The sequence below is a fragment of the Homo sapiens genome, chromosome 17, assembly GCF_000001405.40.
Source record: "Homo sapiens chromosome 17, GRCh38.p14 Primary Assembly".
NCBI lineage: Eukaryota > Metazoa > Chordata > Mammalia > Primates > Hominidae > Homo > Homo sapiens.
Window position 1 is genome coordinate 44,371,968 of NC_000017.11, and position 21,399 is coordinate 44,393,366.

The 21,399-nt window shown below is 53.2% G+C and overlaps 1 protein-coding gene across 3 annotated transcripts, besides 4 other annotated features; it reads right to left on the bottom strand.

Annotated features, from left to right (window-relative positions):
- On the bottom strand, positions 214-17,682 carry ITGA2B (integrin subunit alpha 2b). 3 transcript variants are annotated; one of them, NM_000419.5, is made up of 30 exons: positions 17,319-17,682; positions 14,043-14,164; positions 13,857-13,954; positions 13,584-13,749; positions 13,319-13,368; positions 13,197-13,242; positions 12,981-13,109; positions 12,571-12,618; positions 12,344-12,387; positions 12,118-12,171; positions 11,927-11,979; positions 11,526-11,737; positions 8,912-9,094; positions 8,633-8,678; positions 8,419-8,523; positions 8,279-8,334; positions 8,035-8,186; positions 7,722-7,847; positions 6,676-6,743; positions 6,395-6,542; positions 5,731-5,823; positions 5,042-5,121; positions 4,341-4,421; positions 4,118-4,217; positions 3,866-4,018; positions 3,624-3,749; positions 3,031-3,144; positions 2,692-2,793; positions 2,387-2,503; positions 214-456 (listed from the first exon to the last, which is right to left on the bottom strand). In NM_000419.5, exons 1-30 carry the CDS (start codon positions 17,504-17,506, stop codon positions 397-399), a joined length of 3,120 nt encoding a protein of 1,039 aa, NP_000410.2. In that variant the 5' UTR covers positions 17,507-17,682; the 3' UTR covers positions 214-396. The 3 variants fall into 3 exon arrangements, with proteins under 3 accessions (NP_000410.2, XP_011523051.2, XP_011523052.2); XM_011524749.2 differs by lacking the exon at positions 2,692-2,793; XM_011524750.2 differs by lacking the exon at positions 2,387-2,503.
- Positions 3,194-3,771: an enhancer, noted in NCBI's record as "H3K4me1 hESC enhancer chr17:42452529-42453106 (GRCh37/hg19 assembly coordinates)". NCBI's record gives its function as "activates a minimal SCP1, AML or CMV promoter by ChIP-STARR-seq in primed H9 embryonic stem cells {active_cell/tissue: H9 hESC(primed)}" and the evidence as "EXISTENCE:reporter gene assay evidence [ECO:0000049][PMID:30033119]".
- Positions 7,490-8,446: an enhancer, noted in NCBI's record as "H3K4me1 hESC enhancer chr17:42456825-42457781 (GRCh37/hg19 assembly coordinates)". NCBI's record gives its function as "activates a minimal SCP1, AML or CMV promoter by ChIP-STARR-seq in primed H9 embryonic stem cells {active_cell/tissue: H9 hESC(primed)}" and the evidence as "EXISTENCE:reporter gene assay evidence [ECO:0000049][PMID:30033119]".
- Positions 13,743-13,882: an enhancer, noted in NCBI's record as "active region_12261". NCBI's record gives its function as "activates an Ori minimal core promoter by ATAC-STARR-seq in GM12878 lymphoblastoid cells {active_cell/tissue: GM12878}" and the evidence as "EXISTENCE:reporter gene assay evidence [ECO:0000049][PMID:35858748]".
- Positions 17,839-17,898: an enhancer, noted in NCBI's record as "active region_12262". NCBI's record gives its function as "activates an Ori minimal core promoter by ATAC-STARR-seq in GM12878 lymphoblastoid cells {active_cell/tissue: GM12878}" and the evidence as "EXISTENCE:reporter gene assay evidence [ECO:0000049][PMID:35858748]".

Here is a 21,399-nt window from a genome sequence, read left to right on the forward strand (position 1 = left end):
TATAGGCGTGAACCACTGCGCCGGGCTCTCCGTCTTCTGTTACACCTACCACCCCAACTCTGTACTCCCTGACACTCCCCAAAGACAGTGATTTGCAAACTTCGCCCTGGCAGTGACTCTCTCGTTCATACTTCCACCAGCCCTAGGTCCCCGTCCAAAACATTCCTTCGGTCATCTCTTCTCTGGCCCCAAAAGGAGGCAGCATGCTCAGCATCAGGGCTCAGTCTCTTTATTAGGCAGCAGGAGGGGGGGTAGCCCAGCTCTGTTGGGAGGGAAACGACACCAAGAGGACCCAATGGAACAGCTCCAACCCAAAGCTTGGAGGCAACTTGTTGGAGAAGGGGCGGTGCAGGTAGCACGCCCAACCCTCCTGCTAGAATAGTGTAGGCTGCACCATCACTCCCCCTCTTCATCATCTTCTTCCAGGGGTGGCCGGTTCCGCTTGAAGAAGCCGACCTGGGGGTACACGGGGGCCAAGGTCAGGGTATACAGATGATTTGCTGGCCCCAGAGCACATGTGAGGAAGTATGCTAGCTATGAGCACCTCCCTGGACCAGCGCAGAACATGAAGCCCACTGTACTCACAAATGGATGCCTTTTGACATTTAGAGATAATGCATGGAACGAATTGTTGGGTTTTTGTTTTTTCTCCCCTGAGTTTTTATTTTTTTCTTTTTTTTAGAGGGAGTCTCACTCTGTCACCCAGGCTGTAGTGTAGTGGCTCGATCTCGGCTCAGTGCAGCCTCCACCTCCCGGGTTCAAACAATTCTCATGCCTCAGCCTCCCGAGTAGCTGGGTTTACAGGTGTGTGCCACCACGCCCAGCTAATTTTTAGTAGAGACAGGGTTTCACCCTGTTGGCCGGGCTGGTCTCAAACTCCTGACCTCAGGTGATCTGCCTGCCTCAGCCTCCCATTGTGTTGGGATTACAGGCATAAGCCACTGTGCCCGGCCTCTGAATTTTTCTTTTTTATTTTATTTTTAGAGACAGGGTCTTTCTGTTGTCACCCAGGCAATCCTCTCACCTCTTAGCCTCCCAAGTAGCTGGGACTACAGGTGTGGACTACCACACCTGACTAATTTTTTTTAAAAAACTTTTTTGTAGAGATGGAGTCTCACTATGCTGTCCCAAACTCCTGGCCTCAAGTGATCCACCGCGCCTGGTCCCCACCTGGAATTTTTCTTTTCTTTTCTTTTGAGATGAAATCTCACCCAGGCTGGAGTGCAGTGGCACAATCTTGGCTCACTGCAACCTTCACCTCCCGGGTTCAAGTGATTCTCCTGCCTCAGCCTCCCGAGTAGCTGGAAGTACAGGTGCCTGCCACCACGCCTGGCTAATTTTTGTATTTTTAGTAGAGATGGGGTTTCACCATGTTTGTCAGGCTGGTCTCGAACTCCTGACCTCATGAACCGCCCACCTCGGCCTCCCAAAGTGCTGGGATTACCGGTGTGAGCCACCACGCCCAGCCTGGAATTTTTCTTATACTGAAGTTTGTGTCTGCATGACTCGAGCATATGATGATATGTATTTGATTATTGTGGGTCTAGTGCGTGGTTTTCCCTAAAAGCACCATGTCTTCCCTTCAGTGTGCTTGAGACTCCTCCAGGTGCAGAGGAGCGAGTGACCCTCCAGGGCCACATAGGAAGGGAGGAATAGGGTCTAGACCAATCCTTGGGCCTCTTGCCTCACTCAAGGGGAAGGGCAGGGCTAGGAAGAAGTGCATCTTGTCCTTGAGACCAGCCAGGAATTCCTGAAGGCAGGACTTACACCCTCTATACCCTCTATATCCTCTGAATCTTTTTGGTGGCAGGGGTGTCTAAAGGCCTCAGAATTTCAGGTGCTATCCTTTCCAGTGGTATGTGTCTGGAAGGGTTCCCAGGAGAATGACATTTTTGTGTTTGTTTTGCCTTTTTTGCTCTACTAGAGAAAGACATTCTATTTTTTTCTTTTTTTTTTGAGATGGAGGCTCGCTCTGTTGCCCAAGCTGGAGTGCAGTGGTGTGATCTCGGCTCACTGCAACCTCCGCCTCCTGGGTTCATGCAATTCTACTGCCTCAGCCTCCCGAGTAGCTGAGATTACAGGCATGTGTCAACACGCCCGGCTAATTTTGGTATTTTTAGTAGAGATGGGGTTTCACCATGTTGGCCAGGCTGGTCTCGAACTCTTGACCTCAGGTGATCTAAACGCTTTGGCCTCCCAAAGTGCTGGGATTACAGGTGTGAGCCACCCCACTGGACCGAGAATGACATTCTAATAGTGGAGACATAGACCCCTGGTCCCTGGATTACCCACTTGGGTGGGCCACCATCTCTCCTTGACTCCCTGTGAGGCAGGGCAGAGCCAAGCCTGTGCCCCGCTGGGGACTCCACCGTCCTTCACACCTCACCTTCCACATGGCCAGGACCAGGATGGTGAGCAGCAGCAGGCCACCCAGCACACCCACCAGCACCCACCAGATTGGAATGGCCCTCTCCTCCAAGGCCCGGAGCAGCTGTGTCCACACCTGGGGGCAAACCCACGTGTCTCCTCAGTCACCTTGACACCTGCCTTTCACAAAGACTCAAACCTCAGGCTGGTGACCTCCAGCCATGCCACCCACCCGTACCACCCCTCAGACTTTTCTGGCTGGGCACTGACTGGGGGACAATGGGTCCTGCAGGACTGGTCTCTGCTCCATCCCCCCACACTCACCTGAGCTTCCCCTCGGGGCAGGCTGAGCGGGGGCACCGCATAGGGGAGGGAGGACACGTTGAACCATGCGTGCGACTGCAGCACAAACTGATCCAGAGGCCTCTGGACAGGTTGGGGTTGAAAGCCGTTTACACCCACAAGAGGCCTATTGGTTGCAGGAGTCCAGGTCCCACACCCCCGGCGGGGAAGCCCTGCCTCTGACCTAATCCCACTGCAATCCCCCAAAGTAAACCTTGCCTTCCCTCTCTTCCTGCCCTCCCACACCAAACCCCGCCCCTCCCAGAGCAAAGTGGTCCCCGCCCAGAAGGCCCGGCCCCGCCCCACCACGGCCCACCCCACCTGGTAGAGGCTGGGCAGCCACAGGAAGGCCAGCACCGTGACCATGGCCCGCTGCCCGCGCGCCATCTCCTGCAGGTCACACTGCACCACAGTACAGGGCGCCGAGTCGCAGCTCTGAGGGGAAGCATCGTCAGTCCCCAGCCCGTCCCGGCCCATCACCCCATCATCCCCCACCCCCTTACCCCCAGGACCCAACGCAGAAGGGGCCGGGGGTTCAGGAAGCGGTGGCCTTCCCATCAGGAAGGGCCTTGGATCCAAGCTTCGGATGCTGTCTTTCCACGGGCTTGCTCACATAGTCCCAGAGATGCAGGGAGGGTCATCCCCCAGCGCACAATGCTCAGATCTATGATAACCTTGCTTTGGCATTGTTTTATGCTCCTTAACGTACTGGGAAGCTTTTAAAAAGTGCAAGTGTCTTTCAGCTCACCCCAGACACAAGCCAGCATGCTCCTCCATGTTCACTTGAAGTGCTCCCAGGGACCAAGCGTGGCCCACAGAGGCCCACAGCACACCCGGACCCCTCTCCCTCCTCCCATCCCCTCTGCCCCGTGGGTCCCGGGGAGGCCGGGCCAGAGACCAGAGAGCCTGCTCACTACGAGAACTGGATCCTGAAGCCTCGAGGGCTGCTCGGGCTCTGGCAGGAAGATCTGTCTGCGATCCCGCTTGTGATGGGCCGGGTGAATGGGGGAGGGGCTGGGGATGGGCAGCCCCCAGTCCACCTGGGGGGGCAAAGGAGTGGTCAGGCCCAGGTCTCCCCCGAACCCCAGCCCACAGAGGTGCCCCGGTGGTTGGTCTGGGGCCGCCTTCCCAGGTCTTTCTTCCACCCAGCTCTTACCTTGAGAGGGTTGACAGGAGGCTGTGGGAAGCACTGAAGGCCCCCCTGGGGCTGTATATCCAGGATGTAGAGCAGGTCGGAGGGCTGGGACTGTCCCGGAAGGTGGATGCTGAGGTGAAGACCATTCACAGTCCCAGGGCCATTGTTGTGGAGCTGAAGGGGTGGTGGTGGCAGGGTGTGGGGAGCTTAGCGCCTCACCCGGAGTTCTGAGGACCCGCTCACCCCAGCCAGGGACGCGAGGCTCCCCAATACCTCATAGGTGTGCTCCACTTTGGGTCCCCAGCTGTCCAAGCTGTTCTGCTCCCTCTCACCTTCTTCTGCTGCCACCACCAGGGAGGCTGGAAAGGAGTTCCTGCAGGTGCCCAAGACCCCCAGAGAGAGTGTGATGCCCTGATTGGCCTGTGAGGTTTCCCCAGCGCCCCCTGGAGTTTAGAGCCCTGAATGCCATCTCCCTTCTCCACCCCTGGCCTCTCACCCTCGCAGCTCCACTTGGGCCTCTGCCCGGACCGGCACGTCCAGCAGCACAATCTTGCTGTTTGGATTCTGGCTGTTCTTGCTAGAGGGGAGGGGATGAGGAGAAACAGGGCCAGGGACACCAGCCCAGTGACTTTCTGGGGGTGAGGCCAGAATTTTAGAGAGTTCAGAGAGAGCTAATTATACAAAGAGCATGCCACACTGAAGTTAGACCTGGGAAAGAACTTCCTCTAGGGCTCCAAGACTCAGACATAAATCTCTGAGGAAGAAAGGGAACCAGGCTTCTTCAAAGACCTTTTTTTTTTTCTTTTGAGATAGAATCTCGCACTGTCGCCCAGGCTGGAAGGCTGGAGTGCAGTGGCCCAATCTCAGCTCACTGCAACCTCCACCTCCCAGGTTCGGTTCAAGCTATTCTCCTGCCTCAGCCTCCCGAGTAGCTGGGATTGTAGGTGCGCACCACCATGCCCAGCTAATTTTTATATTTTTAGTAGAGATGGGGTTTCACCATGTTGGCCAGGCTGGTCTCCAACTCCTGACCTCCAGTGATCCTTCTGCCTTGGCCTCGCAACGTGCTGGGATTACAGGTGTGAGCCACTGCGCCTGGCCTCGAAAGACCCTTCTGTATGGAAGGGACCTGAGGGGCTCTGCACGGGGGTCAGACGGGGGAAGGGTGGTGGGTAGGCACGCTCGCCAGGTCAGTACCTCCGTATCTGCAGCTGGAAGGACACAGACTCCCCAGCCTCTTCCAGATTCCCCACGCTCACCAACATCGCGATTCCTATCTGGGAGATGAGGAGGGCCAAGGTCACTGCCCAAGTGCCCCACTTAGGACAGCCCTGCCCTGAATGTGGCCTCCAGTCTTCACCCTCCAAGATCACCACTATTCTTTTTCTTTTTTTTTTTTTCCGAGACGGAGTCTCACTCTGTCACCCAGGCTGGAGTGCAGTGGCATGATCTCGGCTCACTGCAACCTCCACCTCCCAGGTTCAAGTGATTTTTCTGCCTCAACCTCCCGAGTAGCTCTGACTATAGGCGTGCGCCACCATGCCCGGGTAATTTTTGTATTTTTAGTAGAGACGGGGTTTTGCTATGTTGGCCAGGCTGGTCTTGAACTCCTGACCTCGTGATCCACCCGTCTCGGCCTCCCAGAGTGCTGGGATTACAGGCGTGAGCCACCGCACCAGGCCACCATTATTATTTCTATTTTACCTGGAAGCCCACTGGGTAAAGGGGCTCAGAGAGGGAAAGTCACTCACCCAAGGACATGTGGCAAGGGAGTGTGAGGACCAAGATTCTGGCCCAGAACTATGTGGCTCTAAAACCTCACCCCTAAAATCTGGTTATTCATGAGCCCCTGGTGGAGACCCGGTACCACGACCCAGCAGCCTCACCTGGGCGTTCTTCTTCATGGGGTTGCCCAGCTCACACAGCACCACCCTGGTCTCATTCTCCTTCTTCTGATTACAGATGAGTCTCTCAAAGCCCTTCAGGAAGGCAGTTCCAAGAAAGAAATTACAGAGCATCATATATATATATTTAAGCTCCCTTGGAAGGTCTGGAAAGATTTGTGTGCCAAGGTAGGGAGGGGGGGGTTTCTTGGGGTGGGGTCTCAAGGGACTGTCACATGCTAGTGTGTGTATTGCTGTAGCACTACTACTTTTTAGGCATTTTCATTTTGGAAATAAAAAACACAAAACATTAGAGTATGACCCCCATTATTATAAACTATATTAACAACATAAAAAATAAATATATACTTATGTGAGTGTGAGTCAATATTGAAAAAAAGACTGGAAGGAAATCCACCAAATGTTAACAGAGGTTCCTGTTAACATTTGGTTCCTAAACCTTTTTTGTTTTTCTGGTTTTTGTAATAGAGTTTTGGAATTCTGTGCCATTAGCAAGTATTCCTCCTCCAAATTAAAAAAAAAATAAAAAATTACATCTTTGACAGCAAAGCAGAAGAGAAGAGGGACTCTCAGGGAGGGAGATGAGAGAGCCAAGGCTCCAGTGCCTCCCAGGTCCCGGGTACTGTTCCCAGGGTGGGGGCCATACCTCGACATTGCTTAGGGCCCGCATGTAGTGGGCGCCCTGGGGCAGGTGCACGGCCAGCTCTGCTTCATAGGCCCCCTCGCCCTCGTTGGCTGCGTCCATCTGCAGCTCCAGGACATTATCTGCCCCAACTAGGAGCGGGGAGCCCGTCCTGTGGGGAAAGAGGAGTGAAGCCAGGGAGCCTGGGTCTGGGCCCAGGATGTGGGAAAAGAGGGGACTAAGGTGTGGAGCAGGTATGATAGGCAGAAAGGGCCAGGGTCGGGCAGAATGGGAGGCCTCCTCACACGCTGGCAGTGAGCTGAAGCTGGGGCACACATACGTCATCTTCCCCACAGTCCAGGACGATTCGTGTCTAGAGGGGCACATTGGGGTGTGCGGGTAAGTTGGGGATGTGTGAGGTTTAGGGATTACATCAGGGTTAGGAAAACAGTGGGCTTGGGGTTCACATAGGGGCTTAGGGAGTAAGAAGATCTGAGGACGAAAAGGAGTTTGTAGATGGTATCGGGGCTCGGGTTTATTTGGAGGTTTGGGACAATGTCAGGGTTTGTCAATTTACATCAGAGCTTAGGGGATACTGGGATTTTCAGGTGTTTATTTTATTTTTGGAGACGGAGTCTCGCTCTGTCGTCCAGGCTGGAGTGCAGTGGCACTATCTCGGCTCACTGCAAGCTCCGCCCCCCGGGGTTCACGCCATTCTCCTGCCTCAGCCTCCCAAGTAGCTGGGACTACAGGTACCCGCCACCACGCCCAGCTAATTTTTTTTTTTTTTTTGTATTTTTAGTAGACGGGGTTTCACTGTGTTAGCCAGGATGGTCTTGATCTCCTGACCTCGTGATCCACCCGCCTTGGCCTCCCAAAGTGCTGGGATTACAGGCGTGAGCCACTGCGCCTGGCTTTTTTTTTTTTTTTTGAGACAGAGTCTTGCTCTGTCACCCAGGCTGGAGTGCTGTGGCACACTCTTGGCTCACTGCAACCTCTGCCTCCTGGGTTCAAGTGATTCTCCTGCTTCAGCCTCCCGAGTAGCTGGAATTACAGGCATGCGTCACCACACCCGGCTAATTTTTTTTGTATTTTTAGTAGAGATGGGTTTTCACCATGTTGGCCAGGTTGGTCTCTAACTCCTGACCTCAGGCAATCTGCCTGCCTCGGTCTCCCAAAGTGCTGGGATTACAGGTGTGAGCCACCATGACTGGCTGGATTTTGAGGTTTTCATTAGGGTTTGGAATGACATCAAGGTTTTGGGGTTCACATTGTGACTTGGCACTAACCCTAATCCTGATTTGCTATCAGGGGTCCTGCACCTCCCTGGCCTGTCCCTGCCTGTCCCTACCTGCTCCTGCACATGGGTGTCTCCATGCAGCACGACAGCAGGGGCCATTCCAGCCTCCGTGGGCGGTAGGGACACATTGAGGCTGAGCACAATGGGGCTCAGCTTGTCCCGGAAGTCTGCCTCATCCTAGGACAGGGGCAAGAGTCAGGCCATCTTGCTACCATACACATCCCACCTTCTCCTGGCCAGTAGGCACCGTGTCCTGACCACCCCCGGACTCACAGCACCCAGCTCAGTGCCCCAGGGCTAGATGAACAAGTCCAGTGGGTAAGTTCTACTCTCCCAGCCCTGCCAATCCCCTGCCTGGGCGTACTCGAAGGAAGGCCATGGTGGTGTGGCAGATGGGGCTGTGCTTTCCGCCCAGATCCAGGTTCAGGGTGGTGCCTGCCTGTTGAGAGCCCAGCAGCAGCACCCGCCGGCCCTGGCGGGGCTTCTGCCGGTCCAGCTGCAGCTCGGCATTTAGGGCTGGCAGGGCAAGCAGAAGAGTCAGGACCTCCCTGGCCAGCCTCCGGGGGAGTCCAAGCCCACCTCCCTCCTGCCCCCTTCATGCCACTCACATAGCTTCTGAGGAATGTTGTGCCCAGTGGCTCCAACACACATCTGGATGTTGAAGCTGCAAAGACGTAAGTGGGGCTCAGGGGTTGGAGCCTTTCTGAGGTCCCAGATCCTTTAAGGCCCATGCCCTCTGCCTCCTCACCAGCTCACGGGTGTCTTGGTCTGAGGTAGGACACAGCTCTTCACAGCAGGATTCAGTGAATCTTGCACCAGTAGCTGGACAGAGGCCTTCACCACTGGCTGAGCTCTGATGGGATAGGGTGATGGGGTAGGCTTGCCATTGTGGCTCCTCCTGGCCTGGCCTCCTCTTGATGGCACAGGACCTTCCCCATCCCGCCCCTGGAGCCAGTGCTCACCTGTACACAGCCACCTGGTTGGCCCCGTAAGCTCCCACGATCAGGTCTATAGACATCGAGGAATGGGTCAGAATTGGCGATTAGGGCATGGGATCCTCATCTCATCTTCCCAGGGGTTCCCCACACCACCTCCCCCACTGGAGGTTTCACCCAGCCCCTCTGGCAGTCCATAGTGGGACACCAGGCCAGGCATGAGCCCCTGGCCGTGTCTCTTGGCACTTCCAGCGAATGTCCAAGGGCCTTTCTTGGGCATTTCTAGCTGGAGGCAGTCCAGGGCACCTGGGTATCCGTTGTCATCGATGTCTACGGCACCTCGAAGGGAGAAGCCAAAGGCAGAGCCTGTGGGGAAGGGGCTGTCCAGGACCTGGGAGGGACGTGACCTCAGCCCCTCACTCTGACCCAGGAACACCAGCACTTGGCCCCGGCCACTGGGACCCCCGTAGGGGGCAGCCACTGCAATGTCTGGAAGGAGTAACAGAAAGGAAGTGGCTGATTGTTATTCAGCCTCCCTAGATGACTGTAAAACTTTCCTGAGCTTCTCTGGGAACATCCCAGGAGACTAGGAAAGGGGTGCAAAGTGTGGGTGAAGGAGGCACTGCCCTACCCTCCAGGAGTTAACAATCAGGTGGGAGAGGGACCTGCCAAGTAGGATTGTTATAAAAACAGTGACAACTCTCACTGTCTATTGAGGAAAATATATCCTGAAAATTAAGCATCATTATTCCCTTTTCTAAATTTTTTTTTTTTTGAGATGGAGTCTCGCTCTGTTGTCCTGGCTGGAGTGCAGTGGTGCGATCTCGGCTCACTGCAACCTCTGCCTCCCCCGTTAAAGTGATTCTTGTGCCTCAGCCTCTTCAGTAGCTGGGATTACAGGCGCCTACCACCATGCCCGGCTAATTTTTGTATTTTCAGTAGAGACGGGGTTTCACCACATTGGCCAGGCTGATCTCGAACTCCTGACCTCAAGTGATCTGCCCACCTTGGGCTCCCAAAGTGCTGGGATTACAGGTGTGAGCCACCGTGCCCAAGCCCCTTTTAAAATTTTTTTATTTTTAAGACAGTCTTGCACTGTCATTCAGGCTGAAGTGCAGTGGTGCAACCATGGCTTACTGCAGCCTCAACCTTCTGGACTAAAGCAATCCTCCCACCTCAGCTTCCCAAGCAGTTGAGACTATAGCCACCATGCCCAGCTAATTTTTAAAAATTTTTATGGAGACGAGATCTCCCTATGTTGGCCAGGCTGGTGTCAAACTCCTAGGCTCCAGTGATCCTCCTGCCTCGGCCTCCCAAAGTGCTGGGATTCCAGGTGTGAGCCACCGTGCCTGGCCATCTAGCATCTATTTCTAGCCTTCTCCATTCCATCAAACTCCCAGACCCCCCACACTTCCTTCAGCAGGTGACGTAATCTCTTACTTCAGGAAGAGAGGCAGCCCACTGTTATGCTATAATCCCACACCAACTTTCTTTTCCCTTTCCCCATTTGACCCTGGAAGAGGTTTCCTTCCTTCACCCTGACACTGGGCCAGTCACCCTCCCACCCCCTGAGGCATCACAGGGACTCTCTGCTGGCTCATCCCCCCATTTCCCCACAACATCATTTTCAACCTACTACATGTTCTTCCACATTGAAATAATCTTCCCTTGACCCTCATCTCTTTTCTGTGATCACCTTTTCTCTTTTTCCTCTTATAGTCAAACATGTTTTTTTTTTTCCTTTCTATTCCTCAAATTCCTTTTTACCACAAACCTGTTGAAAGAGCTGTCTACATTAGCTGCATCCAATTTTTCATCTCCATTCATACCTTACCCCATTGCATTCTGGCTTCTGACCCTATCTTGGCCTGAATCAATTTATGTCACTGTCACCAATAACCTCCCCTTCTTTTTTCTTTCTTCCTTTCTTTCTCTATTTTTTTTTTTATTTTGTTGAGATGGAGTCTTGCTCTGTCACCCAGGCTGGAGTGCAGTAGTGGCGCAAGCTCAGCTCAGTGCAACCTCCACTTCCCGGGTTCAAGAGATTCTCCTGCTTCAATTTCCCAAGTAGCTGGGATTACAGGTATGAGCCACCATGCCTGGCACCCTCTTCTTGCTAAAGCCCATGAATATTTCTCCAGCCCCACCTAATTGTATCTTGCAGCAGCAGCAGGAGCTGCAGCGCCCACTTCCTCCTGTGCATGCTCTTTAACGCATGCTCTTCCTTGAGTCCCGGGCCATCAGACCCCCTGGGTTCCCTCCTCCCTCTCTGGACACTCCTCTGTCTCCTTCTCAGACTTACCTCCTGTAGGAGTCACCTAAATGCTTTTGCTCCCTAGGGCTCTATCCTGGGCCTCTTATTTCACAGGTCCCGGGACCTCATCCACTTTCCCCAAACCCCTGTCTCCCATTCAGATCTCTCTTGTGGAAGCGGGGAGAGCCACTCCCAACTGTTCTTTGGATATTTCCGCCTAAAGCACCCAAGCCCTTCAAGCTCAACAGGTCCAGAGCTGAACTGCTGATCTCCCGCCTCTCCCCAGCACCTGCTGCACGGCCTGAGTTCCAGGCAGTGGAGGCCATCACAGGCACCCAACTCCAACCTCTCCCCTGGCCCCACATCCAGTCTCCCACCAAGTCCTAATAATCCGAGTCCTAAATATCTGTGAAGTCACTCCCATCTCTAACTCCACTGCCAAAATCCACATCCAGGTGGTCATTGTCTCTTGCTTGGATTAAGGCAAACACTTCCTAATTAGTCTTCAACTCTCCCATCTGCTCTCCACTCAGCACCCCATGTGTCTAAGCCACATACTTATATGCTTAAAACCCATCCTGGTTCTGGCTGCCCTCAGGCCAACTCCATGCTTTTTGAGTGGCTGTTAACCCCTCTGCAGCAAGTAGGGCTCCTCTCTTCCCTCACCATTGTAGCCATCCCGGTCGAGGTCGCCCAGGGGTGCGATGGCAGAGCCGAATCGCCCATAGAGCTGTGTGCCAGTCAGCAGGAGGCTGGGGGCACCCAGCGCGTGGGGGCCTCGCGGCTGCAGGAACAAATACACACGCCCCACTTCGGCCAGTTTTCGGTCTGCCCGGCTCTCCATATACAGTGGAGCGCCCACCAGCAGATCATGCCTCCTGTGGGCCAGATGAGTGGTTACATGGGACTGGACCAGGGGTATATTGGGGCTAGGGCCAAATCTCCTCGACCCTTGCTCTCCTGTTCCTCCAGTGGATACGTGAGACTAGGGCTAGGAAAGGGAGACAGAGGGCAGCTCTGGTAATTTGGGACCCAACTGGGTAGGGGTGGGGCATGTCCCTCCTCACCCATCCCCGTTGACGTCAGTGACAGCCACTGAATGCCCAAAATACGACGCCATCTGCAAGATGAGGAGCACCATCATTCACGCCGCTGGACAAGCATCCTCTTTAAGAAATGGGCCCTCACCTCCCATGAAATATTCTGAAGTCTCAGTTCCCCCTCCACCCAGCCACGCCCACTGGGACCTGGCCCCCACCTGCTCTCCGCGCAGCCGATGCAGCCTCTGGTAGTAGGAATCCAAAATTTCCACCTGCACGGACAGCGCAGGCGAGAGCATCATTCTTGTACCCAAAGCAACCTCCCACTCCAGGTGAGAAAGGGTGGTTTGGTGGAGGCGGGGCGGGGGTGGGGGGCGCTCAGGAGTTGTCAGCCTGAGAACTGGGATAAGGGGCTTCGGGAGGCCCAGTGGTGGGGGCACTTACCGCTCCCAGGGTCCAGCTCCAAGTGGGGGCACCGACGACATATTCTGGCGATAGGGAGAGCCAGGCTCAGGGAATGAGAGCCTTAGAACCTACCCACTTCCCGCTCCCCGTTCTGCACCCAGGGAAAAATGTGTGTGCAGGAAGATTTCCCTACATAGGGGAGATTTCAGGAAGGCGCTCCTCCCCGGGCTGGGCTACCCAACTCCCGCCCTAAGTGGATTTCTTGCCTGTAGTGTTGAGATCCCCGTCGAACTCGCCCACGGCCACCGAGTACCCTGAGGACAAGGGCGCAAATTAGTCTTTTCCAGGGGAGGAAGCACAGAGGGGACGGAGGGCAAAGAAGGAGGAGATTAAGGCCACTCAGCCCCAGCCCTGCATTGTGCAGATGGAAAAACGGAGGCCTTCGAGGGGCCAAGCCCTGCCCCAGGCTGCGCTACGAGTCCGCAGTGGAAGGGAGCGGTGGGCGCATGGGAGGTGGGCGGTCTGCGGGGAAGCCGCAGGAGCGGAGGGCGGGAGCGGCTTAGGCGGTGGGTTGGCCGGCAGGGGTGGCCATGGAGGCTCCCACAGGGGCAGGACCTGACCGTCTGCGGTGGGCGGTGACCCTCGGGGTGCTGGAAGTCTGGAATGGCGGTGTTACCCCAGTAGCCGTCGAAGTACTCTGGGTTGCTGGAGTCAAAGGAGAGGCTCTGGGAGGACACGTGCCACAAAAGGATGCCTGGGCGGTAACTCGAGAAAATATCCGCAACTGGAGCCTGGGCCAGGAGACCTAGGGCGGGAGGGACAGCGGGTGTGAAGCCCAAAGCGGTCTCCTTGGGCCGCGAGAAGGGAGGGAGGTGTACGGATGGGCACGTACCTAAGAAATAATAGCCGCCAGGAGCCCCAAGCACCAGCTCTCCGGCCTGGAAGGGAAGTCCTGAGGGTGAGAGGGGGCCCTGTTTGGGAGCCGCCCCCACTGCGCTTTTGCTCCCTACTCGCCTGAGTGACCACGGAGCTGAAGCCCGCTTCACAGTAACGCTTGTCCCAGCCTGCAGGAGACAAGGAGGAGGGGTCAGCGCAGGGGTGAAGGGAGGCGCGCGCGAGCCCGGAGGAGGGCTGGGGGACAGGGGCGGGGCCTTGAGTCGGCGGGGCCCTGGGGCGAGGCCAGATCCAAAGCAAGGGCTGCGGCGCTGGGGGCGGGATCCGATGGGGGCGGGGCCAAGCCGTCGCGAGTGGGCGGGGCCAGGTCGTAGCTGGCGCTTACTAAAATCATTTTCCACGTAAATGCGGCTCAGGGTGTTCCCGCGACAGGGGGAGTACTCGGCGCGGCGGCCGCTCTCTGGCTGAGCCAAAAAGCAGCTACCTACGGGCGTCTTCTCAGCCTCCTCAGTCTTTTCTAGGACGTTCCAGTGCTGCCAGGGGGCGCAGGCCTGGAGAAAGGCCACAGGAGTGGGGACGGGCGCGAGACTTGGGCTCCTCCTGGCCCCAGGTGTCCCTGCCCCCGATTGTTCCCTGTGCCCTGTACCGCGGGGCCCACCACAATGACGTCGCTCCAGCTGACGACCGACGCCCCCAGTCCTTGGCGGGCCTTGAAGGTTTGTAAAGTTTGGGAGCCTACATTTCGGGTCTCATCACCTGGAAGGCACAAGAAGGGGTGGGGCGCTGAAGCCCGGCAGTCCACGTCCCTCTGACCCCAACCTTGCTCTCCTTGCCTGGGACTCACGGAGGTCAAAGAGCAGCGAGGGGCACTGGCCGCCCTCGGCCCTCCAGGGGCACAGGAACACGCCGCCCGTCTCCTCCTGGCTGGGGCCCAGGGTCCGCGGGGCGCCCACCACGATGGCCACTCTGCATAGGAAAGCTGGGTGAGCGCCGCGCAGATTCCAGCGTATCCCAGGCCCTGGCGCCGGCGCTGGGAGCACTGCCCGGAAGGCCATGTGGCATGGGGGCACTGGACCATCTTTCCTCAATGACACCTCACAGACCACCGTGATGTACTTCTTCATCTTATGGACAGTGAAACCGACTCTCAGCGAGGGCAATCACGTGGCTAAAGTAACCCAGTGAGTTGAGAGTAGAGCTGGGACTATAACCATTTGGTTTGATTTGAACACCAGGGGTTTGAGATCTTTGCTGAAAAAGACCTAAACTCTGTACAACACCTCCATCCTTCCACCCGCAACAAGAACCAGCGGTTCACATGCTCCCTGGAATGCCTGCCTAGACTGTTACCAGATCCCCTCTTGAGAGCTGGTTTTAATGAGGGAAGGTAGCGGGTACCTCTAAAGTGGGGCTGGAGTGTGTGTGCTGATAGGAGGACCCTAGCAGATCTAGGTTTAAATCACAATTCTGCCATATGTGAAATAGGAATACCAATTTCATAACCAATGACTGGTTTTCACAACCAGTCAATGCTGTCAGGAGTAAATGTAATAAATACGAGTAACGGTTAGCATGGTCCCAGCCAAATACATAACAAACGCTCTTGAAACAATGCTATAATTTTAAAAAATAATTTTGTTGTTTTGAGACAGGGTCTCATTCTGTTGCCCAGCTGGAGTGCAGCAGCATGATCACAGCTCACTGTAGCCTTGATCTCCAGGGCTCAAGCAATCCTCTCCCCTCAGCCACCCTAGTAGCTGGGACTGCGGGTGTGCAACACCATGCCTGGCTAATTAAAAAAAATTTTTTTATAGGCTGGGCATGGTGGCTCACACCTGTAATCCCAGCACTTTGGGAGGCCAAGGGATTACAGGCGTGAGCCTCTGTGTCTGGCCCATAATATTTTTTTAGCCTGCAGGATGTTTAAGTAGTGCCAATGGGATCACTACTTATAGGAGGGGAAATCAGCAGGAGTGGGCACAGGAAGGAGTTGAGCTGATTCAGGCCCAATGACAGCATTCGCCAACACCCCACGAGCTTTGGAACTAGAATGACCCTTCAAAATTGTCAGAGTTGGCCGGGTGTGGTGGCTCACGCCTGTAATCCCAGTACTTTGGGAGGCCGAGGCAGGCTGATCACCTGAGGTCAGGAGTTTGAGACCAGCCTGGCCAACATAGTGAAACCCTGTCTCTACTAAAAATACAAAAATTAGCCGGGCATGGTGGCATGCACCTGTAATCCCAGCTACTCGGGAGGCTGAGACAGGAGAATCGTTTGAACCCAGGAGGCAGAGGTTGCAGTGAGCCGAGATCACCCCATTGCACTCCAGCCTGGGCAACGAGAGCGAAACTCCATCTCAAAAAAAAAGAAGAAAAAAAGTCTGGGCATGGTGGCTGAAGCCTGTAATCCCAGCACTTTGGGAGGCCAAGGCGGGTGGATCACCTGAAGTTGGGAGTTCGAGACCACCCTGACCAACATGGAGAAACCTCGTCTCTACTAAAAATACAAAATTAGCCGGGTGTGGTGGCACATGCCTGTAATCCCAGCTACGCGGGAGGCTGTGGCAGGAGAATCGCTTGAACCCGGGAGGCAGAAGTTGCGGTGAGCCAGTGATTGTGCCATTGCACTCCAGCCTGGGCAACAAGAGCGAAACCCCATCTCAAAAAAAAAAAAAAAAAAAAAAAAAAAAGAAGAAGAAGAAAAAAAGAATTGTCAGAGTTGATGAAAGAGGGCTGGACCCTTATCAAATGCCTCCCCCACACCTGCCTCCACTCTCCCCACTCACCCACTTCTCATTGATCAGACACTGGATGTGGGCCATCTTGGGAGGGGACTTGGAGTGAACTGGCTCTCTTCAGCAGAGGAAATCCCCTAAGTGGCTGACACTTGAAGGCTATCTGCCATTGCCACCCATTGCCACTCCCTGAAGCTGGTGGGCACAGTGTCTCTCACAATAGTAGCTCAGGGTACACGCTATGAAGAGGAGGAGCCAAGACTCTAATCTTGGCACTCTTGATTCTGAAGCCTGATCAATACTAATCATTAATGACCTATTGCTTCTTTTCAAATATTTATAATGTTGATGGAGATGAGGGAAATGGAACAGAAATGCAAGGTGCGGGAGGGTAGACAACTTTAGTTCTGCAAATCAATTTAGGACATGTGCTCCTCTCCACATTTCCTTTCTTTTTTTTTTTTTTTTTTTTTTGAGACAGAGTTTCGCTCTCGTTGCCCAGGCTGGAGTGCAATGGCATGATCTCGGCTCACCACAACCTCTGCCTCTCAGGTTCAAACGATTCTCCTGCCTCAGCCTCCCGAGTAGCTGGGATTACAAGCATGCGGCACCACGCCCGGCTAATTTTTTTTTTTTTGAGACGGAGTGTCACTCTGTCACCCAGGCTGGAGTGCAGTGGCATGATCTCAGCTCACTGCAACCTCCACCTCCCGGGTTCAAGTGATTCTCCTACCTCAGCCTCCCGAGTAGCTGGGACTACAGGAGTGTGCCACCACGCTCAGCTAATTTTTGTATTTTTAATAGAGACAGGGTTTCACCATATTGGCCAGGCTGGTCTTGAACTCCTGACCTCATGATCTGCCCACCTCTGCCTCCCAAAGTGCTGGGATTGCAGGTGTGAGCCACTGTGCCTGGTCTCTTTTTTTTTTTTTTTTTTGTATTTTTAGTAGAGACGGGGTTTCTCCATGTTGGTCAGGCTGGTCTCGAATTCTCGACCTCAGGTGATCTGCCCGCCTCGGCCTCCCAAAGTGCTGGGATTACAGGCATGAGCCACCGCGCCCGGCCTCCTCTCTGCATTTCAAGGTGTTGAGGGTGGAGTGGTTCATACAACTGACCCTTGGGGAAAAAATAAAGCATCAACTCTTGTCTTCCCTTTGTTCTTGCTGTAGTTTTCAGTGCCCATCAGCCCACATGTGCCCTGCCCTTATACCTTCACCTGAGCCAGTCCCCTGGACCCCAACATTCTTGACAAGAAATCAACCTGAATAGGCCCCACAAGTCACCTTGCTCAACTGCTATCGCAAATGGGAAACTCGAAGCCCCCAGAAGCAGTGATGGGGAGGGGTCCTGCTCTCTCCCAATACCCCAACTTCCCTTACGGCTCACCTCCCATGGCTGTCCTTGTGGAAGTCCAGTGAAAATCCAAACTGGCTGCCATTGGGGCCTGCATAGAAGGTGAGCTGCACTGGGTCCAGGTTCAAGGCCCAGGCTGGAGGGGCAGCACAAGGTCCCAAGAGCAGCAGCACCCACTCCAGAAGCCAGAGGGCTTGCAGTGGACACAAAGCTCTGGCCATCTTCCTTCTTCCACAACCTCCCAGGCAGGAATGGGCCAGCTCCTCCTCCTTCCCTTCAGATTCCTCCACAGGAAGTCTTTTCTTATCAAACTGGAACCCCAAGTAACTTGCTGAGCAACGGGCAGAGCAAAGGGCTATAGCCCCTGGACTCATGGTGGCTAGAATTGCCAGGAAGTGGGTGAGGCCACCCAGAGGGTGGATGCTCATGGCTGAAAGCCATGACTCCTCCCCTTTCCTGAGAATAGTTTATTACCATGTCCTATTGGTTCTGCCTATCAATGATGTCTCTTGAATCTTTACCCCATCTCTACTACCACCGTGCTAGTCCAAGCCACCATCACTTTCTGCTTGGGATAGCGTGATTGTGAACTGGTCCATACTTGTCTACTCTAGCCTACAGTTCTAATCTCCTCCCTTCCCCCATCTGGCTGTACAGCTGTGGTGCTTTGTGACTTGGCCACAGGTCGGGGAAGGAGAAGGAAGCTGCTGCCCCCGATAAAACCTGAGGCTTCTGTATCTTTTTGGATATGGCATTTACCCACTTCCTCCTTCTAGGACCTTGGGCGGCCTCAACCAGCCATATTGGTGCAGCAGCTTCCTCACTCCTCCTCCGTCTTGAGCCAAGCTTTAGTGTGGCCACAGCAGTGCAGTCAGTGCTGGGGACAGGGTGGTGAATGGACCTTGGTCTAGGTGGCAAGGAGATTGGGGATAAAGTGGAGTTATTCCAGGGAATTTTGACTCACAGTTTCTGAGATTATGCATTAGCTGTTCAGTTGAAGGTAGGCCCTCAATCCTTTTTGGGTGATGGAGCTCTTTAACCATTAAGACTTGATTCTGGTTGGGGGCTTTGCCTAGGGGAGCCTTCCCTGACTCCTCAGGCTGGCCGCGTGGGCTAACACACGTAGGCACAGCATTGAGCACACTGTTTACTCTTGGTCCGTTCACAGGATTGTGTAAATGAGTCCCTTGGGAGCAAGGCTCCTTGCTACAGCCCTAGAGACTACCCAAGAGTCCAATGTGTAGTACGTGTATTGCTGAAAGACTGGATGGAAACACACACTAAGGATGGAAGATGCAAACATAGGGTGACAAAGTGAAGGGATGAGTTTTGAGCAGAAAGGCAAAGTCATTTTCTCTCGGTAAGCGGAAGAGGAGGAGTGCCAAGTCTTACTGGCACTCATGCCTTCCCAAAAAAGCAGGTTCTCAGGAAGATTTAAGAGGTCCGCTAGGGGTAACCATAGCCACATTTTCCTTTTGATTTCTATTTTCTGATCAAACTTAACCATTGCCGTATCCTGCTCAACCACCCTGTACCATTTTGAAGTCCCCTCGTAATTTACTACCTCAGCCTAGAGTTAAGAATCTTATCCTTTATAGGACAGGAAGCTAAAAGCCTGAACTTTGGTCTGGGCCTTCTTCATTGCTGAGTTCCCAGTGTCAAGTACATGGGAGGCGTGTAATTAATGTATTTGCTTGAACGAATACTTAACCCAGTCCTCTACTTACCTTCTATCCTCCCACTGTCCTCAGGTGAGTGATTGCTGTATTACTGGTGTATTCTGTGAGGCCAAATATGAACTTACATTTCACTCAAGTTTTCAATAAGTATTTACTCTGTTCAAGGCACTGTGTTGATAAAGGATACAAAGATAACCATTAGGCCAGGTATAGTGGCTCATGCCTGTAATCCCAGCACTTTGGGAGGCTGAGGCAGGAGGATGGCTTGAGCTCAGGCATTTAAGACCAGCCTAGGCAATACAGTGAGACCTCGTCTCTATTTTAAAATTATAAAAAATAAAATATTTTAAAAACTCCAAAGATAGCCATCAAGGAGACTTAACAAACAGCCCAGAAAGAGTTAAGACATGAACACACATAACTGCAGCAGAGAGACAGTCAAGCATGCCTTGAAAAATACACAGATTATCAAAGTCGTATATCATTGTTACTCATAACAACCCTAGGAAATAAGTACTATTATGCCCATTTTATAAACACAAAACTGTGGCACAAGAGTTTTAGGTAAATTGCCCATGTTTACGCAGCCAACAGATGGCAAAACTAAGATTCAAACATGGGTTGCACTTGAACTCATGTTCAAGTTGCCTTTTGTCAGAGAATGAAAGGGTTTTTAGGCATAGAGAATACATGAGAGCAGCAAAGGAACACAGAGGTAGGGAAGGACAAGTAGTTGACTCAGCATAGCAGAATGCTTAAAGGGTTGGACTGAGGCGCAAGGGGGTAAAGCTTGGGGATTCAAATTACTGGAGGTCCTTGAATGCCATATTAAGGAATCTGAACTTTAATCCATGGGGGATGGAAAATCATAAAGATTTTAGCCGGGCATGGTGGCTCATGCCTGTAATCCCAGCACTTTGGGAGGCCCAGGCGAGTGGACCACAAGGTCAGGAGTTTGAGACCAGCCTGGCCAACCTAGTGAAACCCCGTCTCTACTAAAAATACAAAAATTAGCTGGGCGTGGTGGTGTGTGTCTGTAATCCCAGCTACTTGGGAGGCTGAGGCAAAAGAATTGCTTGAACCTGTGAGGCGGAGGTGGCAGTGAGCTAAGATCATGCCACTGCACTCCAGCCTGGGCGACAGAGTGAGACTCCATCAAAAAAGAAAAAAAGAAAGAAAGAAAAGAAAAATAAAATTATAAAGATTTTTTACACCAGGTTTGGTGGCTCATGCCTGTAACCCTAGCACTTTGGGAGGCCAAGATGAGGATTGCTTGAAGCCAGGTGTTTGGGACCAGCCTGGGCAACATAGTGAGACCCTGTCTCTACAAAAAAATTAAAATTAGCCAGGCACGGTAGTGCACACCTGTAGTTCCAGCTACTGAGGAGGCCGAGGCAGGAGAATCACTTGAGCCCACGAGTTTTAGGTTACAGTGCACTACGATTTTGCCACTCCACTCCAGCCTGGGCAAGAGTAAGACTATGCCTAAAAAACAATTTTTTTTTTTTTTTTTTTTTTTTTTGCTGGGCATGGTGGCTCACACCTGTAATCTCCCAACACTTTGGGAGGCCAAGGTGGGCGGATCGCTTGAGGCCAGGAGTTTGAGATCAGCCTGGCCAACATGGCAAAACCCTGTCTCTACTAAAAATACAAAAATTAGCCGGGTGTGGTGGTGCACACCTATAATCTCAGCTGCTTGGGAGGCTGAGGAAGAATTGCTTGAACCTGGGAGACGGAGGTTGCGGTCAGCCGAGATCGTGCCATCACACTCCAGCCTGGGCAACAAGAGCAAAATTCCATCTCAAAAAACCCAAAAAACCAAAAACCAAAAAACACATTTTTGAATTTTTTTTGGCTCAATTCTGATGCACAATCCTCAGTTAATGATATTTTACTTGGCTCATATTCTTTTTATTTTTGAGACAGGATCTTGCTCTGTCACCCAGGCTGTAGTACAGTGACCTGAACATGGCTCACTACAGACTTGACCCCTGGGCTCAAGCAGTCCTCCCACATCAGCTTCATGAATAGCTGGGACCACAGGCTTGTGCCACCATGCCCAGCTAATTTTTAAATTGTTTTGTAGAGATGGGGTCTTGCTATGTTACCCAGGTTGGCCTCGAATTTCTGAGCTCAAGAGATCCTCCTGCCTTGGCCTCCCAAAGTACTGGGATTATAGGCATGAGACACTGTGCCTGGCCACTTTGCTCATATTCTTGAACATATAATCAAAATGTTTACTATGTATTCAGTGTGAGATACGTTGGGGGCTGCGGTGGGGGGATATAAGAATCACTCCCTGTTCTCTCAGAGATTACAATTTTACTGGGAAGCAATGAATACAAAATGAGCTGCATTCAGATTCTGAAAAGCCAGTAAGCTTACACAGAACAGGAAATTAGGTTCTAGTCAGGAAGGCCACCCAGGAAAATGCT

Excerpts from the sequence above, each read along its gene's own strand:
- ITGA2B (XM_011524749.2), bottom strand. The coding sequence starts at position 17,659 with ATGAGTCCAGGGGCTATAGCCCTTTGCTCTGCCCGTTGCTCAGCAAGT. Across the intron at positions 12,172-12,343 it reads GGAGCTGGACCCTGGGAGCG|GTGGAAATTTTGGATTCCTA; the intron begins GTAAGTGCCCCC and ends CTGTCCGTGCAG. Across the intron at positions 8,335-8,418 it reads ACCAAGACACCCGTGAGCTG|CTTCAACATCCAGATGTGTG; the intron begins GTGAGGAGGCAG and ends ACGTCTTTGCAG.